This window comes from Homo sapiens, chromosome 1 (genome assembly GCF_000001405.40).
Source record: "Homo sapiens chromosome 1, GRCh38.p14 Primary Assembly".
In the NCBI taxonomy this organism is placed as follows: Eukaryota; Metazoa; Chordata; class Mammalia; order Primates; family Hominidae; genus Homo; species Homo sapiens.
Window position 1 is genome coordinate 206,003,589 of NC_000001.11, and position 22,024 is coordinate 206,025,612.

At 45.3% G+C, this 22,024-nt stretch overlaps 1 protein-coding gene across 5 annotated transcripts, besides 1 other annotated feature; it reads right to left on the bottom strand.

Annotated features, from left to right (window-relative positions):
* Positions 5,676-20,307, bottom strand: CTSE (cathepsin E). 5 transcript variants are annotated; one of them, NM_001910.4, is made up of 9 exons: positions 20,136-20,307; positions 19,313-19,469; positions 18,562-18,679; positions 17,461-17,579; positions 12,343-12,542; positions 10,184-10,306; positions 8,920-9,061; positions 8,720-8,818; positions 5,676-6,759 (listed from the first exon to the last, which is right to left on the bottom strand). In NM_001910.4, exons 1-9 carry the CDS (start codon positions 20,201-20,203, stop codon positions 6,595-6,597), a joined length of 1,191 nt encoding a protein of 396 aa, NP_001901.1. In that variant the 5' UTR covers positions 20,204-20,307; the 3' UTR covers positions 5,676-6,594. The 5 variants fall into 5 exon arrangements, with proteins under 5 accessions (NP_001901.1, XP_011507546.1, NP_683865.1 ...); XM_011509244.2 differs by having other exon boundaries at positions 12,343-12,557; NM_148964.3 differs by lacking the exon at positions 8,920-9,061.
* Positions 8,333-8,833: an enhancer, noted in NCBI's record as "H3K4me1 hESC enhancer chr1:206328947-206329447 (GRCh37/hg19 assembly coordinates)". NCBI's record gives its function as "activates a minimal SCP1, AML or CMV promoter by ChIP-STARR-seq in naive H9 embryonic stem cells {active_cell/tissue: H9 hESC(naive)}" and the evidence as "EXISTENCE:reporter gene assay evidence [ECO:0000049][PMID:30033119]".

Below are 22,024 nucleotides of genomic sequence, written 5' to 3' on the forward strand. Positions count from 1 at the left end.
TGGTGATGAGGATGGGAGCTATGGGTCAGGGGGCCTGCAGGGTAACATGTCCCATTTGTGGGCCCCATAAAGAGCCTCTGGTTGGCTTTAGAAACTTCTGCTTCTGCTGCTGGAAGCCACCCAGTAAAGGGGCCCTTTTGTTTTCGTTGAGGTTTTAGATACACATGGGTAGAAGATTCAGTCCTACCACCAGCCTGGTAGGAAGAGGTTCTGGTCCTTATGCTTTGCCCTTATCCCAGTACCTGTATACACACACACACACACACACACACACACACACACACTCCTCCCCTACTCCAATACACACAGCACACACACAGAAAACATACATACATGCCACACACCACACACACTGCCCACACACACCCCACACATGCACACCACACATGCAAGCAACACCCAAACATACACACAATATACACACCACACACACACACCACATACACAAACTCCACACATACATACCACACACAACACACACAAATAACACACGCACCACACATCACACACATCACACAAACACACCATACACACACACCGCACACACCCCCGCACATACACACCACACACAAACACCACACATACATACCACACACCACACACACATCACACACACACCCCACACATACACACCACACACAAACATCACAGATCCATATCACACACAACACACACAGCAAACACACCACACAAACACCACACATACATACCACACACAACACACACTACACAAACACACCACACATACACACCACACACAAATGCCATGCATACATACCACAACACACACAAAACACAAACACACCACACACAGCACACATACATGCCACATACAAGATACACACCACACGTACACTCCACACACAAACACCATACATATATACCACACACAACACACACTCCACACATACACACCACACATACATAGCACACACAATACACACGTACTACACAAACACACCACATACACACCATATATACCACAGACACACCACCACACACACACATACACACCACATACACACCACATACACACACATACACACACATACATACACACCACACACACAAACAACATACATACACTTACACACAGAAGCAACACATATGCATACCACACACATGCACATCACGCACACAAATTACATACACACCACACACACCACACACACATCGCACACACACACACCACACACACAAACAACATATATACATACCACAGACAACACACATCACACAAACACATCACACACACCCATGCCACGCACACATGCGCGCGCGCACACACACACACACACACAACAAATACATACATTAAACTCCACACCAGGCTTGTGAGATATGAGGCAAGTCCTGACGTCTCCTCTCAAGTGAGGATTGTGACCCAACCTGAAGTACCTAGGAGACTACAGCAATTTAAAACGCCGCTAGCATGCGGCTAATTTGGTATCTCTTTGAGCTGCCTGGAACCATGCCTGGAATCGCTATGACTGGCGGATGAAAGCAGAATGAAATGAGTTTAGACAGGCCTTGCTCAGGGGATACAAGGCCTCACCAGAGCCCCCTCAAGTCGTGTAATGCATTGGATGTCCCCTTCTGCCCCCACATCTCTGGGGGCAGATTGTGCCTCCTTGGGCCCATTCTTCATCTAATAATCCTCTGGGTCAGGGAGTTCTTCCTCGTATCCAACAGAAGTCTCTGACTCTGCTCTGTGGCTGCTGTCTACGTCTCATCTGGCCGATTAGACTACACATTTCTCGGGGGGGTGCAGAGCGAGTATCCTTGAATCCCACACTGGGCTGCTCACGGTGCCAGGTACAGGCCTGGCCTGGGTATGTTGTGTGTGGTTTCTTCAGTGGAAAAAAAGGTGAAGCTGATTTCCTTGTTTCAATTAGCAAACATTCCTGGAGGGAGGAGGCAAAGGTTTCCATGGAGAGCAGCACTGGGTGGCACACACTGAAGCTGGAAAACCTCCACCCTAGAGCACATTCACCCCAAATATTCCACCTGGGTGACTTGGGAAAGCGGGCATCAGGCCACCCTCAGGCCAACCACTAATTTTTGATGACTGACTTGTTCTTAAATTGTTGCCCTTTAGAATTTCCTCCCATAGTCTTCTACTTTTTTCTGAGGCCAAGTTTTAAGTGAACACTTGTGTGTGTGTGTGTGTGTGCACGTGCGAGAGAGAGAGAGAGAGAAGGGATTAGACAGCAAGCCCCCACAGGGGCGTAGAGGCACATTTGATCCTCTTTTAGAGAAGATGTGAGCGTTCTTGTGGGGCCCACTGCTGCCGAGGGTGCTTTGGGAATGGGAAGTGAACTGTCCATGCTGGTCCTTACAGCCTTTGCACATGGGACTGAAACTGGTACTTTCAGGGTCTATTTGCAGAACTATCCCAACACCTTTGGAAGCCAAGTCGTCAGCCACCCTCAGACTCTAGTCCCCACTTCCTCCAGCCACGTGGATGAAAAGTCAGCAATTTCCCTTCTGTTCCTGTGACACATGCTCCAGAGGAGAATGACGCCAGCTTCGACCCTGCAGAGGAGGCCCTGACGCTGTATTCATCCTCACTGCTTCCTTCCTTTCCTCCTGTAGGTGTTCATTCAATGATCTGAGCCTTTCAGACCCTTTCAAGGGTGCAGAAATGGAGAATTGCATTTTTTCAGTGGAAATAAAACATGGAGCAAATAATGGCATAAGAAACACAGCTTAAGGGTTGTGGGGATTTAGAGGAAGGAGAGATTAGTTCTAGTTAGGAGAAGTCGAAGAGGGCTTTATGGAAAGGAGGCACTTGAATTGGAGCTTGAAGGATGCTGAGGATAGGATTGTGCAGATGTGTGGTGAATGGAGCAGGAAGTCAGGCTCAATATGCAGAGAAACGATGTGGGGCCAGGGAGAGGAGATGCTGAACCTCTGGCTGGCAGAAGACAGAGTGTACGGGAAGGGCTCCAAGTCATAGCTGAGCACCTTCACAGTGCATCCCATGGGCTGAGATTTCAGTCTAGTGTCTCACAGCACTGTGTCTGACAGCTTTTCACTGTCATCTTAACACTCATTGAAAGGGAGTCATTTTGGGGAAACGGCATGTTCCTCTGATGAACAGAGGAGATGGAATCCTAGGACTAAGTGTACAAGTAAGAAAATCGGGATGATTCCGTTTGGTGCAGGGTAGACTAGATGTCCAGGGAGAACAAGTGGTCAAACTGAGGCAAAGCCCTGGGAACCCTGGAAGTTGCATCAGCTTGGATTGCATCTGGCGTGCAGCGGGGCACCATTGCGAAGTGTACATCAGGGGAAGGGTGTGATTAGAGCTGGGCTTCAGAAATATTTACCGATCAGGCACTGGTTTGTCGGAGGGCAAGAGACAGAATCACTGTCAGGATGTTCCTGGAATATTTCTGGTGAAAGGTAATGACTGGAGGGTGGGGACAAGGAAACAGATCACAGAAGGATTTCTGTGGCAGAACCAGCAGGGTCGTTGTGAAGACTGAATGATGTTGTGTGGCTTAGGCATCACTTTCACACTGCAGCCTCCACTACTCAGACTCCTGGCCAGCACCAGACCAGCACATTCAACAGCCAGGGCAGCCCTTGCACAGAAACGGCCCTTCCGAAAACCCTCAGGGGTGCTGTCTGACAATGGGCTCCCACATGGCTCTTGGGGTGCTTTGTCTTAGATGAAAAATCATAAAGCCATTTACTGTAGGGCTTTCTGCCTTTTATGAGACTCGCCTATGCAGAGTGAAGGTCTGTGGCCTGATGAGCACAGGCATGTAAGCTAGGTAAATGTTTACGTATGTGCAATGTCATTGCATCCTCACAATAACCCCATGCAGCACAGTCGTCCCTTGGTGTATGTGGGGAACTGCTTTCAGGACCCCCAAGTATATTAAAATTTGAGCACACCCAAGTCCTGCGGTTGGCCCCGAAGAACCCACATATAGGATAAGTCCATCCTCCACATACATGGGTTTTGCATCCCGAGAATACTGTATTTTTTTTTTTTTTTTGAGATGGAGTCTCTGTCGCTGAGGCTGGAGTGCAGTGGCACGATCTTGGCTCACTGCAACCTCCACCCCCTGGGTTCAAGCAATTCTCCTGCCTCATCCTCCCGAATAGCTGGGATTACAGGCGCCTGCCACTATGCCCGGGTAATTTTTGTATTTTTAGTAGAGATGGGGTTTCACCATGTTGACCGGGCTGGTCTCGAACTCCTGACCTCAAGTGATCCACCCACCTCAGCCTCCCAAAGTGCTGGGATTACAGGTGTGAGCCACAGCACTGGCTGAATGCTATATTTTTGATCTGCCTTTGGTTGAAAAAATAAAATCTGTGAATAAGTGAAATCATGCAAGTCCAAACCTGTGTTGTTCAGGGGTCAACTGTAGTTCCTATTATGATGTCCATTTGACAGATGAACAAACTGAGGTGCAGAAGTCCCACAACTGATGCTAGGAATGAAATCCAAGCCTGCCTGACTCCGGAGCCAGTGTTGTTAACTGTTCTACTACACTGCTTTCATAGCTCGTTTGTATCAGGCTGTTCTAAATTGACTTTAAAAGCAATAATTTCCTCAAAAAGGAAAAATAAAAGTAAAAACCAAACAAAAAATGTATGTGTGCAGATGTGTAGTTGTGATCTACTCTGAGCATGACACCCAAATCAGAAGGGAAGTTACCACTCTTAGCCAGGTGCTTCCACCCAGGTAAGATCATTGATTCTTCCCAACAGCTCTGAGAGGTGAGTGTCTTAGGGACATGACATCATTACCCGAGGCCACTGAGGAACCAGGACTCTGTGGAACAATGGCTGATGCCACATATGGGACTGGAAGTGTGCAAGATGGGCTGGAAAAGTTCACAGGAACTAATTTGAAGGTCACCCACTGGCTAAAGATAGGGTGATTTGGCATTAAAGAAAAAATTGGTGAGTTGAAACACATCAAATATGTTTAAAATTCTTTGGTGTTTAATATAGTACCAACTCATTCTGAAAACTGGTAAACAAAGGAAACAAAACCCCAAGTAATTGTCTTCTTTCCTGGGCAAATGGTTGATGAGGGAAAGGTTTTATCTTGTTTTATCTTGTTTTCAAGACAAGGTCTTGCTCTATCACCCAGATTGGAGTACAGTGGCAAGGTCATAGATCACTGCAACTTTGACACCCTGGGCTCAAGCAATCCTCCTTCCTTGGCTTCCCAGAGTGCTGGGACAGACGTGAGCCATCGTGCCCAGCCAAAGATTATTATTATTTTTTTTATTTTGAGAAGGAGTCTCGCTCTGTTGCCAGGCTGGAGTGCAGTGGCGTGATCTTGGCTCACTGCAGCCTCTGTCTCCTGGGTTCAAGCGATTCTCCTGCCTCAGCTTCCTGGGTAGCTGGGACTACAGGCGTGTGCCACCATGCCTGGCTAATTTTTGTACTTTTAGTAGAGAAGGGGTTTAACCATGTTGGCCAGGATAGTCTCCATCTCTTGACCTCGTGATCTGCCTGCCTTGGCCTCCGAAAGTGCTAGGATTACAGGCGTGAGCCACTGTACCCAGCCTATGTTTTTTATAGAAGAATTCCAACTAACAAATGCCAAAGGGATAGCAGAATTAGAAAAACACCTGTTCTGCCGCCCCTAATTATAGTGTGGATCTCAGCAATGATCATCAATGACCACTGAAACGATCAGGTAAAATGCTGAACTTTGTAATGAATGATTAAAGCCAAGAACTCCAAACCCACCCAGCAGTCTTAACATTACCAATAGAGAGGCACCAGCATTATCTGCCTCCTGACAGGATGCAACAAGAAGTACCCAGCACCACCTAGGAAGTATTTTTGCCACAAAATCAGACCTCCAGATCTAACTACCATTTTATAGGAAAGATAAGTTCAGAGAACCATGTCAAATGACACCTCGGGATTTCAACCAGCAACGTTCAAATGTGCTAAACTCTGTAGATGGAAAGAGACTTACAGACATTTCAAATAAATGCAATATATGGGCCTTGCTTGAATCCTAATACAAACAATCCAACTACAAAAACAGCCAAACATTTGTGGGACAATGGGAGATGCTTGAATTCCGATTGTATATTTAAGGATGTTAGAAATATTTATGGACAAAATGATGTAATGCTCGGAATTTGCTTCAGAATGATCCAGGTACAGCATGTGGAGCTGGAGAGAGGAGTGGGCAGCAGTGTAGATAAACAGGCCTGGCCGTGTGTGGATGGGTTGTCAGGGCTGAGTGGAGTTGCAAAGGGATTTATTATACCATGATCTCTGCTTGTGCATATGTTTGGAGATTTTCATAATCAAATGTGAAAATTTTTGATTTTCATAATCAAAAATCAATACAAAATATGAATGTATAACGTAATTCCTCCATCATGACGGTGGTGGGAGTGGTGTGTATGTGTGAAGTGTGTGTGTGTGTATATGTGTGTGTGTGTGTGTATTCTCATGTTCTGTTTGGTCTTAATTCAAGTTGCAACCCTGGAAACAGCTACATTCTCTGGAAAATAACTTTTTGTAGGTGTAAAGAATGCCCCAGCCTAACATATTCAAGGTCTGTCAGACAGGCAGGCACAGACACAAGGCCCCTCCTTAGGGGACTGCTGGGGCCAGTCCCACACGGTTATTCCCACGGTCAAAGACTGAGTAAAACTGTCGAATGAAGACATCCCCCAGGATCCAGAGGGGCCCAGCTGGAGGGTGGATGTCAAGTCCTTGAAAGCCACTGCTGCAGAACTGCATTCCATCCACGAAGTCCTGTGGGTTGGAAAGAAGGATGCAAATGACAAACGGGGGAAGAAGGTAGTAGTACTGCCTGGAGGCTGCCTGTGTGGTGGTGGTGGCTGGCACTGGGTGGCCTTGGACAGCTGGTGGGTTCCACCATTTTGGTCGGTGGGTTCTTCCTCCTGCTTCATATGTCCCTACCCTAGGTTGCTTAATAAAGTGTTTGTCTGCACAAGTCCATTCTTATGGGCCTGGGGTCTATGTTCTACAATTTTGAGAACTGTTCATCTGTTATATACTCCCACCTACCCCTGTCACCATCATTTTACAACTGGGAAACCCTTGCTGCATGGCTAGAAGAGCAAAAGGGTTGGCACCGGAAGACCTTGGTTTAAATTCTGGTTTCTTTAGTTTCTAGTGAAGCTCAGCTTAGTTTTTGTTAAGGGAGAGAAAGAACTGTGTTAGTGGCTATCCACTGCTATTTTCTTGTTGATGTTCTGGAAACAAACATTTGAGTGACCCCCTTTAGATGAGGCAAGTAGGCATTCCTTGTTCAAGAGAAGAGTGTCACCTTCTCCAATCTAATTTTTAGTTTGGCAAAGACGTGCTCTACCAGGCAAGTGTGGTCTTTCCAACAATGATTTGAAATGTGAAGTTGCTGATGAGGGTGTGGGAAAATTTGCAGAGGGCTCAGGGAGACTTCTTGAGAGGAAGGACGTGAAAAGTCAAAATTTTTACAGCAGTTTTGATGGATCAAGGTGGCTCTGATTGAAATCTGCTGGTGGGAAAGAACCACTCACTGTACTGCGAAAGAACCAGCACAAGACCTTGTGATCCACCCGCCTCGGCCTCCCAAAGTCCTGGGATTACAGGTGTGAGTCACCATGCCCGGTCAGGTCATGATCTTCTAAAATGATCTTCTAAAAGAACCACTCACCATACCGGGAAAGAACCACGCACCTCCCCTCCCCTGGCTTCTAGGAAACTCCCACTCTTTTTTGGGCTCTCCAGCGCCTGGAGCACATCAGTGATTTCCACCTGGGCAGGGACTCAACTCACGTGGGGGAAGGTGAGAGTGTGGGTGTGCTGGGGTGTTGATGGGCATGTGGACTGATGAACAGGGCTCAGTCTAAATGTCTCACTGGTCCTCAGTGTGGTGTTCAGAGTGGCAGCTCCATAATCCCTATGTGGCAGGAGCTTAGGGGACTTACCATGAAGCTGTGTTTTAAAGCAAACATTTGTTTTTATTTGGATTGTCTGTTGGTGGCTTTGGGAAGGAGTTAATAGAGGCTTAGGGGTAGGGCTGAAGCCCTCAGTCTATACCTTAGCACCCCTCTTCTGATGCAGTCACCCTGATGCTGTGAGTGACTCTTGGAAAAATTAGTGTGTTGAAGTGTGGTGCCGAATACCTAGAATGCTGAAAATTCAGACCAACTGTGGTGTGAGGTGCTCATAGGTGTCCAAAAGGTCTGGGAGTTCCCTTTCTACTTCACCCTACAAACTTGAGAATTTACTGCAACAAAAGACATTTTCTTGCTAGAGGAGGAATGTTAATTTGAAGTTAGAACAAATATAATCTTATTCTCCACTCCTCCCTGCAAACAGCTCATATCTTGAACCATTTATTTGACTCTCTGAGTCTTGATATTCTCACCTATAAAATGAGATAGTAATAGCTCCAGTCTGACCTGGTGGTTGAGGAGATTAAACTTTGTCAGTGGAAAAGCCCTACATGGCAATATCAGAAGACTTCCTTAAATGGCTTGCCTGAAGTTCACTACTGCTTCATGGCAGAACTGGAAATTAGAGCAAGCCCCGTGGTCTTTCCACCACAGGCAGCTGTGTCCCTCCCAGAGGGAATGCCACATGAGAGCAGAACAACGTGGGGCGGGGCTTAGGGTAAAGGCGGGCAAAGTGCAGGCGATTGAAAAGGGGAAGTGGCAGGCATGTGGGGAGGGCCCTGTGGCCTGCAGAATAAGGAAACAGTTCTTACCAGTAGGGTGTAGGCAGTTGGGCTGAGGGTATAGGGGACTCCGTTAATGGTGAAGGTGACATCCGGCATGACGTTAAGGTTGGCACACTCCACAGCATACTAAAACCCAATACGGAGGATCCGTTTAGAGCCTTGCCACCTCCCAAGAGAAGGCCTGGCTCTCCTGTCCCCACCACTCCCTTGCGCAGGCAGGCACTCACTTCTCCATCCACGGGGGCTGCCCCAATGGCGTTTTGCAGCTGCTTAATCTTGTCGGAAGGGCCAGTGATGAGGGAAGTCCCTGTGTCCACAATGGCCTGGCAGCCCTCGGAGCAGAACATAACAGTGCCTCCCACCTGGATGCTGAGGGGACAGGGTTGTGGTCGGCCCACCTTCCCTCCCCCGGCTCCTAGGAAACTCCCACTCTTTTTTGGCCTCTCAAATGCCTGGAGCACATCAATGATTTCCACCCACCATATGAGTGTTCCTCAATTGTTTTCTACTGAGATCCATAGGAAGAAATCTGTTTACTTCTTGACCCAGTGCACACACACACACATTCATGCAATTGAAGTGCACTCTGGTATTTTCTACTGTATTCCAATTCGTCTAAAAAATGTAGGTGTCTCAATCTCTTGACCTTGTGATCCACCTGCCTCGGCCTCCCAAAGTCCTGGGATTACAGGTGTGAGCCACCACACCTGGTCAGGTCAGGATCTTCTAAAATGATGTCATGACCCATAAATAGGTGAATTCCTACAGTTTGAAAAACTCTGAATAGACAGTGAGCATTGAGGCCTTTTATTTTTTGCATTCCTAATGCCTGGTACCTTGCAGGAACTCAATCCTAGCTGAATTGAAACTTGAACTACACTTTTCCAATTCCTGCATTGTCTAGCACGGCGCTAGGTATGAGGCAGGCATGTAGTCCCACTTCCCCAATTGCTTCGTGCCCAGATATTGTATATATTTCCTGGCTCAGTTTCAATGTAACCCCCTCCATGATGCACTGGAGCATTCAGATAGAAGCGGTCATGCCTGTCTGCTGGACCACATTGGTGGCACCTCTCTTGGAGCACTGACCACCTTCCATTTTACAGGATAGTGGTTTGGGTGCATCTCATCTTCTGTACAAGTTTTTTGAGGACAAGATCTGAGCCCAATTCACCTGTGCAACCCCCCATGTTACTCATCCCTTGCCTTGTGTGTTAATGTTAAAAGAACAAAGGGGAGCAGGCTGTGCACTGGTATTGACTGTATGTTGAGTTAAAAGCACGCCATGTGTACAAGGAAGGAAGCTGTGTCTGCTGCCCTGGTTACAGAGGTCCCTTCCTGCACACTTGCTCAGCACCTCCATACCTCCAACCACAGTAAGCTTCTGGCATCCTCTGCTAGTGACCAGTGGTTTTTCAGTTAAATCGGTTTGAGTTGTGCCTCTTTTCAGTTTACCCCTAGTACTGTCACTACTTCATGGGGAATACTCACTTATCCAGTGCAATCTGCCAGTAAGCTTGCTTGGTGACTGGGACCCAATTCAGGCTCCCAGAGAAATGGGAGTGGTCGTAGCCTCCAAAAATCAGCTCGCTCCCCGCACCACCTTCTGGGTTACTACATGGAGAGAAAGACAAACTGTCCAGGAAGGGCCACTGCAAAACTCTAGGGGTGAGCCTCAGCTAGGACCCTTTGCTTCTTGGTCTCATGCCAAGCACACAGGTAGGCAGAAACATCAGTCTGGGCTTTGAGACCGGGACTCTGACTACTGCAAGTGAATTGGTCTGGGCCTTTTTGACACAAGGTTAGAAACAACTCCCCTTGACCATTTGTGAATGTGTTTCTGCTTCTTGGATAAAAAGGTTAAGGAGGTGGGAAATGGGGCCAGCAGGTCTGTCATTCAGAACCAAGGCCAGGACCATCCTGGGTGGGTATACACTGTGTGGCTTGAAGCAACCCCCAAAGACACCTTTTCCCAAAGTATCTTCCCCACTATGGTTGTGACAGTGCCTGGCGTTTTTGTGTTATTCACTCCTTATGTTAAGGCAAAGAGGCTAATATGAATGTATCATGACTTACTAGAGCCTGAAAACTTATTTTCATTGGTATTGATTTCTCAGATTATGTTCTGGAACCTAGCAGGACTCTGGAGAAATAGGACCTAAGACAGATTCATTTTGAGGAGGAAAAGGATCAGAAAGATACAAAACTGAAATCAGGGTGGTAAAGAGGGAGAGGAGTGAATACCTGTAGGAATTTTAGGACAGTGGTTTTACAGAGGGAGTGGGGAAAGGAACTCACATTTGTTGATTACCTTGGTGCAAGGCCGTGTAGTGGGGATTTTATCTGTCTAAACTTATTTAACTCACATCAACCTAGTGGTCCGTGGAAGAAACTGAGCCTCAGTGAGATGAAGCAATGTAAGTGGCAGGATTCAAATCCAGGCCAGTCTGACTGCCAAGCCTTGATATTCTCCATTACAGCCCACTTTTCCCAGGCGACGGGAGAAGGAAGTTCTGCAAGGGGAAGCAGAGGTGTCTAGACAACTTGCCTCTCTTACTCACAGCTCTTCCTAGGCCTGGTCCTGAGTGCTGTCATGCTGGAGAGGAAACATAGCTTGATAGGGAAAATCCAGGACCCTCCATGTGGGAGAGGGGAATGAGAGGAATGGGCTTATGCTGAAACAGTGTGAACGCAGGCCAGGTCTGAGCTGGAAAAAGTCAGCAAGGTCAGAAATCACCTTCCTGTGTAAGGAGGAAGAGGAGATGACCCTCCAAGGATGCCGGGCAAGAGTGCCTAGAAACAGGTGAGCCTCATGACCTTTTCCAAAAACAATGTGCAATTTTAAAAATTGTTGTAAAAATATGTCACATAAAATGTACTATCTTACCCATTTTTGAGTCTACAATTCAGTAGTGTTAAGTATGTTCACACTGTTGTAAAATCCAGACCTTTCATTTTACAGAACTGGAACTTTATACCCATTAGGCCATCAACAACGGTTTAAGAATTCCTCACTTCCCCTCCCCAGGCTCTGGCAACTGGCAGTCTACTTTCTGCCTATGAATTTGACTAGTCTAGGTACCTCACCTAAGTGGAATCATACAGTATTTGTCTTTTTGTGACTAGCTTATTTCACTTAGCATTATGTCCTCAAGTTTCTTCTATGTTGTAGCATGTCTCAGAATTTTCTTCCTTTTTAAGGCTGAATAATATTTGATTATTTGGATATGCCACATTTTGTTTATTCATCCATCAGCATGCAATTATTTTATTGTCAGCTTTTCATTTTTTTCTGCCTCCTCCTCCTGCAGGTACTGTCTTTCTTGTTTCACTGGGTCCCCAGTGTGAGCATCATAATCAGCATATAATAGGAGCTTGATATTTAGTGACAGCATCAATGAAGAACCAATCCCAGAGATTCCTTAAATTTAAGCCAGTGTGGTAGAGTTTACAAAGTGTTTTTACAGCTACTTGATGAAGCAAATCCCATTTCCTCAATATTCAGAGAGGTTAAATGTTTTGACTAAGATCACACAGCTGGTAATGGACCAAGCTACCTAAACCAGGTCTTTTGACTGCTAAGTCAAGTGTATGTGTTGTCTCCCTGTAGTTATAACTGACTTTAACCTCACAGACTTGATGGGCCTTACCTGCTCATGTAGACAGAAAACATCGGCAAGTCCACCAGGTTCTGAGCCATCATGTTGTCAAATACTGGAGTCACTCCTCCCACAGCCAAGGAGGGGTATCCCAGGCCCAGAATTCCATCAAACTCTGCATCCACAAAGGTCTGGCCTGGCTCTGTGACACTTTCTCCAAACTGCTGGCCAACCACGGTTAGTCCTTCCACCTGGTAGGAGAAAGCCCACAGGAGAACAGGAGAATGGCACAGGGGATTGCTGGCAAAGGGTTTGACTCCTGGATTTTCCTCTGTCTTGAAGCTAATGCCTCTCCTTCCCAACTTTCCTTGACTAAATGAGCACAAAGATGCTTGCTATATTCCCAAAAAACAGGACATTCCAAACCTCAGAAGCCCTCATGCACCTGCCAATCATTGCGCCCCTCCTCAAGAAGAGCCAGTCTCCTGACTTCTAATAACATATATTGGTTTTGCCTATTTTTTGGATTTTATATAAATGGAATCATCCCATATGAACTCTTTGGTATCTGGCTTCTGTCACTCATCATGTGCTTATTGTACACTGTTTTTTTGTAACTTGTTTCAGAAAATTTTGCCTACCTTAAGGTCATGAAAACATTTTCTCATGTTTTCTTCTAAAAGCTTTATTGTTTACTTTTCACATTGCGATCTGGAACCTATATGAAATGTGATAATGTGTAAGGTAGGAATTAAGATTTATTTTTTTCTATCTGGATATTCATATGACCTGGCACTATTTAATAAATATACCATCATTTCCTCCACATACTGCAGTATCTTGTTCAACGCAAGTCAGATGACTGTGTTGATAGTTTTGTATTTTCTGTTCTGTTACATTTGTTTATTTTTTAAATTCTGTGCCAACACCACACGTCTACATTACTGTAACTTTATAATAAATCTTAATATTTACCAGTGTTTTTCTTCAGCAAGATTGTATTGGTGTATTACATATCCATATAAATGTTAGAATCAGTTTGCTAATGTCTAAGAAAAAATGCTGTTGTTTTGATTGGAATAAAATTGGTTGTATAGACCAATTTGAAAAAATTTGACTTTTTAATGAAACAGAGTCATTCAATCTATGAGCATGGTTTAGTTTTCAATACAGGTCTTCTTTTAATTTTATTCATTAATGTTTGTGATTTTTATGCAAGTCTTTTACTTTTATTTAGTAATGTTTGCTATTATCAGAGTAGAGTTCTCGCACATTTTTTGTTAAATTTACATCAAAGTAGCTGATGGTTTTGATAGTATTATAAATAGTGTCATTAAAAATCTATTTGCCATTTGTTTTACTTGCTACAGGTTGAGCATCACAAATCTGAAAATCTGAAACTGAAGTGCTTCAAAATCCAAAACTTTTTGAGTGCCAACATGAGGCTCAAAGAAAATGCTCATTGGAGCATTACAGATTATGGATTTTCAGATTTGGGATACTAAACTGGTAAGTATAATGCAAATATTTCAAAATCTGAAAAAATTTGAAATCTAAAAGGCTTCCGGTCCCAAGCATTTGGGATAAGGATCCATAACCTGTATATATAAATCCAAATGATTTTTTTTGAGACAGAGTCTCACTCTGTCACTCAGGCTGGAGTGCCATGGCATGATCTTGGCTCACTGCAACCTCCACCTCCTGGGTTCAAGCAGTTCTTCTGCCTCAGCCTCCTGAGTAGCTGGGACTACAGGCGTGTGCCACCACGCCTGGCTAATTTTTGTATTTTTAGTAGAGAAATGTTGGTCAGGCTGGTCTCAAACTCCTGACCTCATGATCCACCTGCCTCGGCCTCCCAAAGTGCTGGGATTACAGGCGTGAGCCACTGTGCCTGGCCCCAGATGATTTTTTTTATGTTGACCTCATATCCAGCAACTTCGCTAAGTTCACATATTAATCCCAATATCCTTTCTGTAGATATTTTTGGATTTTCTACTTATGGAATCTTGTCATACATTAATATTGACAGAGTTATTTCTTCCTTTTCCATCTTAATGTTCTTTATTTCTTTTTTCTTGCCTTGTTGCACTGGCTAGGATTTTCAGTACAATGTTGAATAGAAGTGGTGAGATTGAGTGTCCTTGTCTCATTCTTGATCTTATGGAGAAGTCTCTCGACAATTCACCATTAAGTATAAAGTTTGCTGTGGGCTTCTTTTAGATGAAGTCCTTCATTTTTATCAGATTAAGGGAGTTACTTTCTACTCCTAGTTTGCTAAGAGTTTTTCTTGAAGTCATGAATAGATATTGAATGTTATTAACCTACTAATATAATCATATTGGTCATATGATTTTTCTCCTTTTATTCTGTTAAATGATAAATTCCTGGAAAGATGACCCTTGGTATGATCTTTTTATATACCAAAAGATTTTATTTGCTAGTATTTCATTTAGAACTTTTGCATCTATATTCATGAGAGAAGAGATTGGTCTGTAATTTTATATTTTCTTTTGTTATAATGTCCTTTTCAAGTTTCATTATTAAAGTTATGCTGGTTTCATAAAATGAGTTATAAAGTGTTTTTACTTTGTCAAATATCTGGAAGAGTTTGTGAAAGACTGATTTTTTTTAGTGTTGAGAGAATTTATCAGTGAGGCTTTTCTTCGTGGAGTTTTCTTTGTGGAAAGATTTTTTAATAACAGAGTATATCTTTAAAAGATTCACATTTTCTATTTTTTGTTTTTGCATCAGTTTTGGTATGCTGTATTTCTCAAGGCATTTGTTGATTTTCTGAAAATTGTAAAATTTATCAATATAAAATTATTCTTGATAACTTTACTAATGTTCTCTTTCTCATTTCTAACATTGTTAAGTTGTATTTTCTTTCTTTTTTCTTATTTAGTCATGTGAGAGGCTAACCAATTTTATTACTCTTTGCAAAGAGTTCATTCTTGGCTTTGTTAATTTTCTGTACTGTGTGATTTCTCTATTTCATTTGTGTCCCATTCTACTCTTTATTATTTCCTTCCTTTTGATTTCTTTGGGTTTGATTTGCTATTGTTTGTTTACGGTTTGCTCATTTTCTTGTTATTCATTTCTTGAAATAGGAGCTTAGATAATTGATCATTAGCATTTCTATTAACAACGCATGCATTTTAGGCTAAATGGTCCCTTTAAGGGCTGCATCAGCTTCATCTACAAATTTTCACATGTCATATCTTTATTATGTCAGTCAGGGTTTGATAAGAGAAGCAGAACCATTAGGAGGTACTATAGATTATAGATATAGCTATAATGATGTGGATATAGATATTGATTATATGCAACTGTGGGTGCTAGTTAAACAGTGTACTTTAGGATACTGTTTCTGTCCTGATGCTGCAGCAGCAGTCTACAGTTTGCACAGCAGAAAGGGAAGATAGATGTCAAGTGGGAGAAAAAGGGCCAGTTGGAACCCATGAGGGTGAGGGTGGACTGGAACCCACATTGTTCTCTCACTGTCCCCAAGTCTCCAGCCTCAATGATGGGGATGTTATGCAGCAAAAGCTGATGATTTGTTAGAGGTAAGTGCACACCTGGTCCTGGAGCCAGAAAAACTGAGGGAAGGAGCAATGCAGCTGACATTGCTGTGGGCTTGGCTGCTGCCCTACACCAGCCAGGTGAGCCAACAGATACGTGACAAGCTATAGGCTTGAATTCCCCTTTCTATGCTAATTTCAGTCCCTTCCCTGCATCTCAGAGGTTACTGTGATGATCAGTTAGGGATGTAGCCTTCAAAATAGTCATTTTAACTTTTATATATATATTATATGTAATTAGATATATAATATATATGTATATGTCATAATATATATAGAATCTTATATATAACATAATATATACACATTACATATATATTGTGTTAATCTATTATATAATAGATTAACATATTATGTAATATATTATGTTAATCTATTATATAATAGGTTAATCTATTATATAATAGATTAACATAATATATTATGTAATATATTATTACATACAACATATTAATATATTATATAACACATACTATATTATTAATATAATACATTATATCAATTATATTCTATAATATATTATATATTATATAACATATATTAATGTAATGTATTACATATTATATTAATTATATAATATATAACATGTATTATATGATATAATTATGCAATTATTATATACTTTAATATGTTACATATTGTATCTATATAATATATACAGATGGATATATATTATATATACAAATATACTGTATATTACATATATTCATATATGGATATTATATATTATATATTATATATGTAATGTGTGTATACACACGCATACATAGTTCCAATAGAAAATACAGTACATTGTTTTATCTGTATGATATTTTTACATAGATGGTGTTTTTCTGCTTCTGGCATTCTTTCAGTTGATAATATGTCCTACTCCACCCACTCTAAGGGATGTTGATGAAGGCTGTGCCCTGCTGGCCTCGGGAATACCCCAGGGACCAACGTTCACCAGGAGTAGGTCAACCTCTCTTTCTCCCAAGGCCCAGGCATATATTGCTGTCTATAAGCCTGAAAAAGTACCTGGCTCTCTGTCCCCACATTTGTCTGATTCCCATAGTTCTAGGACCCATAGGACTTCAGAGGGAGTCAGAGGGTCAGAGGTCAGAGGGAGTTTGAGGAACAGCTCATGAGCTCAGCACTGAGTTCAGTTTGGACCTTGGCCTTTGGACAACTGGGCTTCTGCCTTGCCTCTGTGATTGGACTCCCATTTCAGACCTTGCCCCCTTATGTTACTGAGTCCAAATCTCTCCCCCTGGTGTGGACTTCTTTATCCTTCAAGACGGAGACGTGGTTTTATCTCCTCAATGCCCTAGAGACTGGAGATCCAGCTGTGCACCCTGCCACCAGGCTTTGTGCACTGGGCACTGCTTCCTGCCAGAGTCCCCCTGTGCTGCTCTCCCCCAGGGCCCAGCGTGCTGTGGAGACTGACCCACTGCCACCATCTCAGGTGGGGAGTGTTGCTTGCCCTTTCTCCTAGAAGTTAGTGCTAACCCCTGTTTCCACCCATTCCTGAGGCAGATTTGAAATGTAAGACCTCTGAATAAGTCTCCCAAGTTTCTGTCCAAGAGAGAAAAAATGAAGGACTTGCACTCACAGAGACTTGGTCGGCTCCAATGATCCCGGACAAGCTCCCGGTTCCATACTGAATGGAGAAAGATTGACCTGGCTGGCTGTATGTGCTGGACTGGGAAGGCTGGAACCTGCTGTGCGTCTCTGGAAAGAAGTGCACTGCTCTTGCTTATGCCATCGGCTCACTGGCTGCATCCCTGCCCTAATGCCACCCAGCCCCACAGCGGCAGGGTCTCTTCCCTCAGCTCTCAACACTGAGTGGGGGCCCCTAGAAGCCTGGTGATGCCCCTCCCTAATGAACAACTACATTTCCCTCTAGCTACAGATGTGGCCTAACTGGGGACCAAATAGCTATCCCTGAGCAAACCTGATTGTCCACAATGACCTCATGAGGCACACCAAGATAAGTGTCATTTATCAGGCGCCAGCCACAGTCCCTGCCACCCATTGTGGGTCAGAGGTTGGCTTCAAAAGAAACTCAGGGATAAACAATTGCCCCAGGAAATTACTCCCAACTTTTCTCCCAACCGATGGACATCTCTAGCCTTGGGGTTTCCAGAGACATTCTGTCTCTGGGACTTGTCCTGTATCGAACAAGACATCTTTCTGTAGCTCTTCTTTTCCAATCCTCACTGAAACTTCTGAGTTACCTCTGGACAAATGGACCCACCCATGCCATTGTGCCCCACCAGCCCCACCTGTGTGCACCAGGAGATAAGGCTACCAAGCCTCCTTGAAACAAGCAGACTATCTACACTAGAACCCGACTCACCTCCCTGCTCAGAAATAACCAATTAAATTAAACTTCCCCTACATTCCTTTGGGTGTTCCAAAGGAAGTGAGTCATTATGTCAAAGATTTCTCTTTTCAATGGCTTTCTTTCTATTAATTCTGATCAGTATGAAAGTTACTCTCTTGGACAGCAGCCACATTTTAGTTCTTCCTTGGCTTTGCTCTATCTCTGCTATAAGCAGTTCCACGGCTGACTCAAAGATGGAGAGTGGAAGCTGGTGTGGCAGGGATGGCCAGTTTCTGGAACCTAAGCCCCCCTTCCCCAGAGTACCAGGCTTGGCCTCCCAGGACTAGCCCCCAGACATTCTCTGCTGGTGCTCCTGGCCCCACTTACTGCAGGCTGGGCTAGTGCAGTACACAGAGGGGACCCAGAGGTTGGAGGAGCCAGTGTCGAAGATGACAGTGAAGTTCTGTGGTGGGGAGCCAATGGAGATAGTGCCGAAGTATTCCATCTGCAAGGAAGAGTGAGAAGGAAAGAGGGTGTGGGTGGTGGGGAGGGACAAGGGTGCTCACCAGGAAGCCAGGGGAAAGCTCCCAGGGGCCAGAGCCTGGGGTAATACAGACTGGAGTTTACAGAGCCTAGGAAGTGGCAACGCTGGAAAATAAAAGGTAAAAGGAGCAGAGAAATGGCCATGAAGGAGGAAATCAAACCAAGCCTCTGGCTACTTCATTTGATTTTACTTGCACTAACCTGATTCTTATAAATACATTGTAGGAGAGGCAGTGGAGGAAGAACCATCTGTTTTACAGACCAGGGAACTGGGGCTGGGAGAGGTTAAGTAACTTGCCTAAGGGTACACAGCCAGTAAGCTGCCCAGCTGAGAGCAGAAGCAGGGGCCTTCAGTGTGGGATGATGCTTTCACTCCCAGCCCTTTCCTTCTGCAGAGAACTCTGACATTTGGGTACATGGGGGCCTGCTTAGCCAACTCCATGGGGACCCAGGGAATCAGTCCCCATGGATCATCATCCAAGTGAAGAAATCCACAATGGCCTTCGGTGCTACTGATGTGGCACTGGCCATGCCCTAATGCTGGGCCTTCCTCCCGCTCCCACCTCTCCCCAGCCCTGACCCCAGGAGGCCTCACATCCAAGTAGTTGATGAGGGGTTCCTTGGCACTCTGGTCCATTGAGCAGGACTCGGTGAACTGGATCATGTCCAAATTATGGGATTTCCAGAACTCAGAGAGCTGGCTCCGTGCCCGCAGCTTCTTCTTGAGGGACGGATGCCTCCTGAGGGGCACCCTGGAGACAAACCCCCATGTAAGCAGGAGATGTACTTCTGCCTCCCTCTTCCCCCCATTCTCGTCCCATTTTCTCAGGGGCCAACTAGAGAAGATGGGGTGGGAGGGGGGGATCTGCAAGACAGCACGCAGGATACAGGTGGGATCAGCGTCCTCTCTGCCACTCAGCCTGCCCGGCCTCATCTCTGCCCTATAGAGTCTTAGAATCTTAGAGTGGAAATGGCTCCCCTCCTGGAGCTGAGGTCTTTGAGATCTAGGAAAATGGGAGATGTGGGGCGGTCTACAGTTTTACATGAACATCACGAAGGGCTGATTTAAAGGGACAGAAAAACTCTTGGGGACAGTGATGGTCAGTCCCCTGGGGAAGTCCTGGGGCGCTTTGAGCTACAAACCACAACTGCAGGTTCCTGCTCTTTTGCAACACAAGAAGACCCCTGGGACTTGGGAAGGCACCTCCGTGGAGGTGGAGGCAGGAGGATGACTTGTTGAGGACTGGAGATTAAGGCCATACACAGGCGGTCACTGGATGAGTCTCTTCCATGCATTGACGCAAGCCCTCAGCTTCTCCTCCTCTTCACCTCCCCATCAGCTTTCCTACCCCAGAGCAGCCCTGAGTTGCAGGGCATGGGACTACCCAGCTGAACACAGTGCGGGGACGTCTTCTCACCTGTGAAGGGATCCTTGGGCCTCTCCCAGCTCCAGGAGCACCAGCAGCAAAAGAAGGAGCGTTTTCATTGTGAGTCCGACCAGCAGCTTCTCCCTTGCCCCCTCCTTTCTTCTCTCCCCGAGGGCAGTGGGAACGGACTTTCCCTAACTCTCAGACCTGCCCAGCCCAGTCTGAGGGCCGAATGATAAGGCCCTGGAGTCATTAGCCATGCCCAGAGTAAATACGGCATGTGGAACAGGGCGTTCCCCCTGCACCTCTCCGTCCCTTTCCCACCTACAAGAGGAATATGAGTCTGCGGGGAGAACTTGGGAGTCCTCTGGGGCTTGGCTTCTCTCAGGGCTTTGGCACCTCCTCTGACCCCAAGAAACCCTGTTAATGAATCCGGAGGGCAGCACATGCCTGGCTGCCTGGAAAGGCCCACTGAACTCTTACTGCAAGTGCTCTAGCTGGAGACTCTGGAGGGGTGGGAGCTGACTTGTCATGGGTGGCAGGATTCTAACTCAAAATATTCGTCAGTCTGTTTTCTGGGTGATTCCTGTTCTCTCCTCAATCTCTCAAATGCTCCAAAGGCAGTTTATCCTTCCCTGGCCCACTTTGAAGCACAAACCAGCACTCCTCAAAGGCCCTGAAATGGGAAAATGTAGCTGCAGATTTATGGAGCCCACTCTCCTGACTCTAAGGACTTGATGAATCTGGGGCTGGGGCTCAGGGGTGTGTGGAGGAGAATGCAGGGGCAGCGAGGGAGGGTCAAGGGGGTCAGCGTCTACAGCAAGTGCCCGCATGAGTCTACTAAAGCGGCCATGACAAAGTACAGGGGGCTTAAACAACAGAAATTTATTTTCTCACTATTCTGGAGGCTGGAAGTCCAAGATCAAGGTGTTGGCAGACTTGGTTGCTTCGGAGGCCTCTCTCCTTGGCTTGCAGATGGCTGCCTTCTCTCTGTGTCTTCACATGGGTCTTCCCTCAGCGTGTGGCTGTGTCCACATCCACATTTCCTCTTCTTATAAGGACGCTAGTCATATTGGAGTAGGGCCCACCCTAATGACTGCGTTTACCCTTAATACCTCTTTAAAGACCCTATCTCCAAATACAGTCACGTTCTGAGGTACTAGGTGTTAGGACATCAACATGGATTTTGGAGGACAAAGTTCAGCCCTTAACAGTGCTCAGGGACAATAGGATCTTCTATCTGTCAAGTGGGACTAAGCGCAGGGGTGGAGAGTGGGTGGGGCTCAGGCCTTAGTTACCGCAGTGTGTGAAACCCCCTCACCATCAGCCTATCTCTGTGGCCACCCGCCTCATAAACAGATGGTGGGGCTTCAGTGCCTGGGGTGGGGATGAAGGGGTTACAGGTAGGAAGACCCTGACCCTGACTCAAGTTAGCCAGGGCAGCAGAGGCCACCACCATATGCCAATGCTTCCAGAGGGCACTAGCTCAGCAGTAGGAAGTAGATGGCCTGCGTTTAGGTTTAGCTCTGCCCTGACCAGCTAGTGTTCTGGAAAATCTCTTAAGTGCTATGGGATCTGCCTTTCATCTCTGAAGTTCAAATGGCAAGCAAACGTGGAGTATGGAGCTAAGCCAAACCCACCCTTGGGTCCAAAAATGTTAAAAAAAGACATCAAAAAGACTTAAGGAACAGCCTAGACCTTTGACCCCTGAACCCAAGGCAACAAAGCCTCTTTGGCATTTCCCAGGAGCCCGTCTTGTTGATCTTTCACTGGGGAGAGTGGTCTAAACCTAGAAGGGCAGCTTGAGTCAGAAGTGGCTAGAAGTGGAGATCATTCATTTTGGCAGTAAACTCTGCCATGTTTTGCCCGTAACTGCTTATTCACCACATACCTTAGTTTTGTCATCTGCCAAATACCTTACCTACATCAATGGGTTTTTA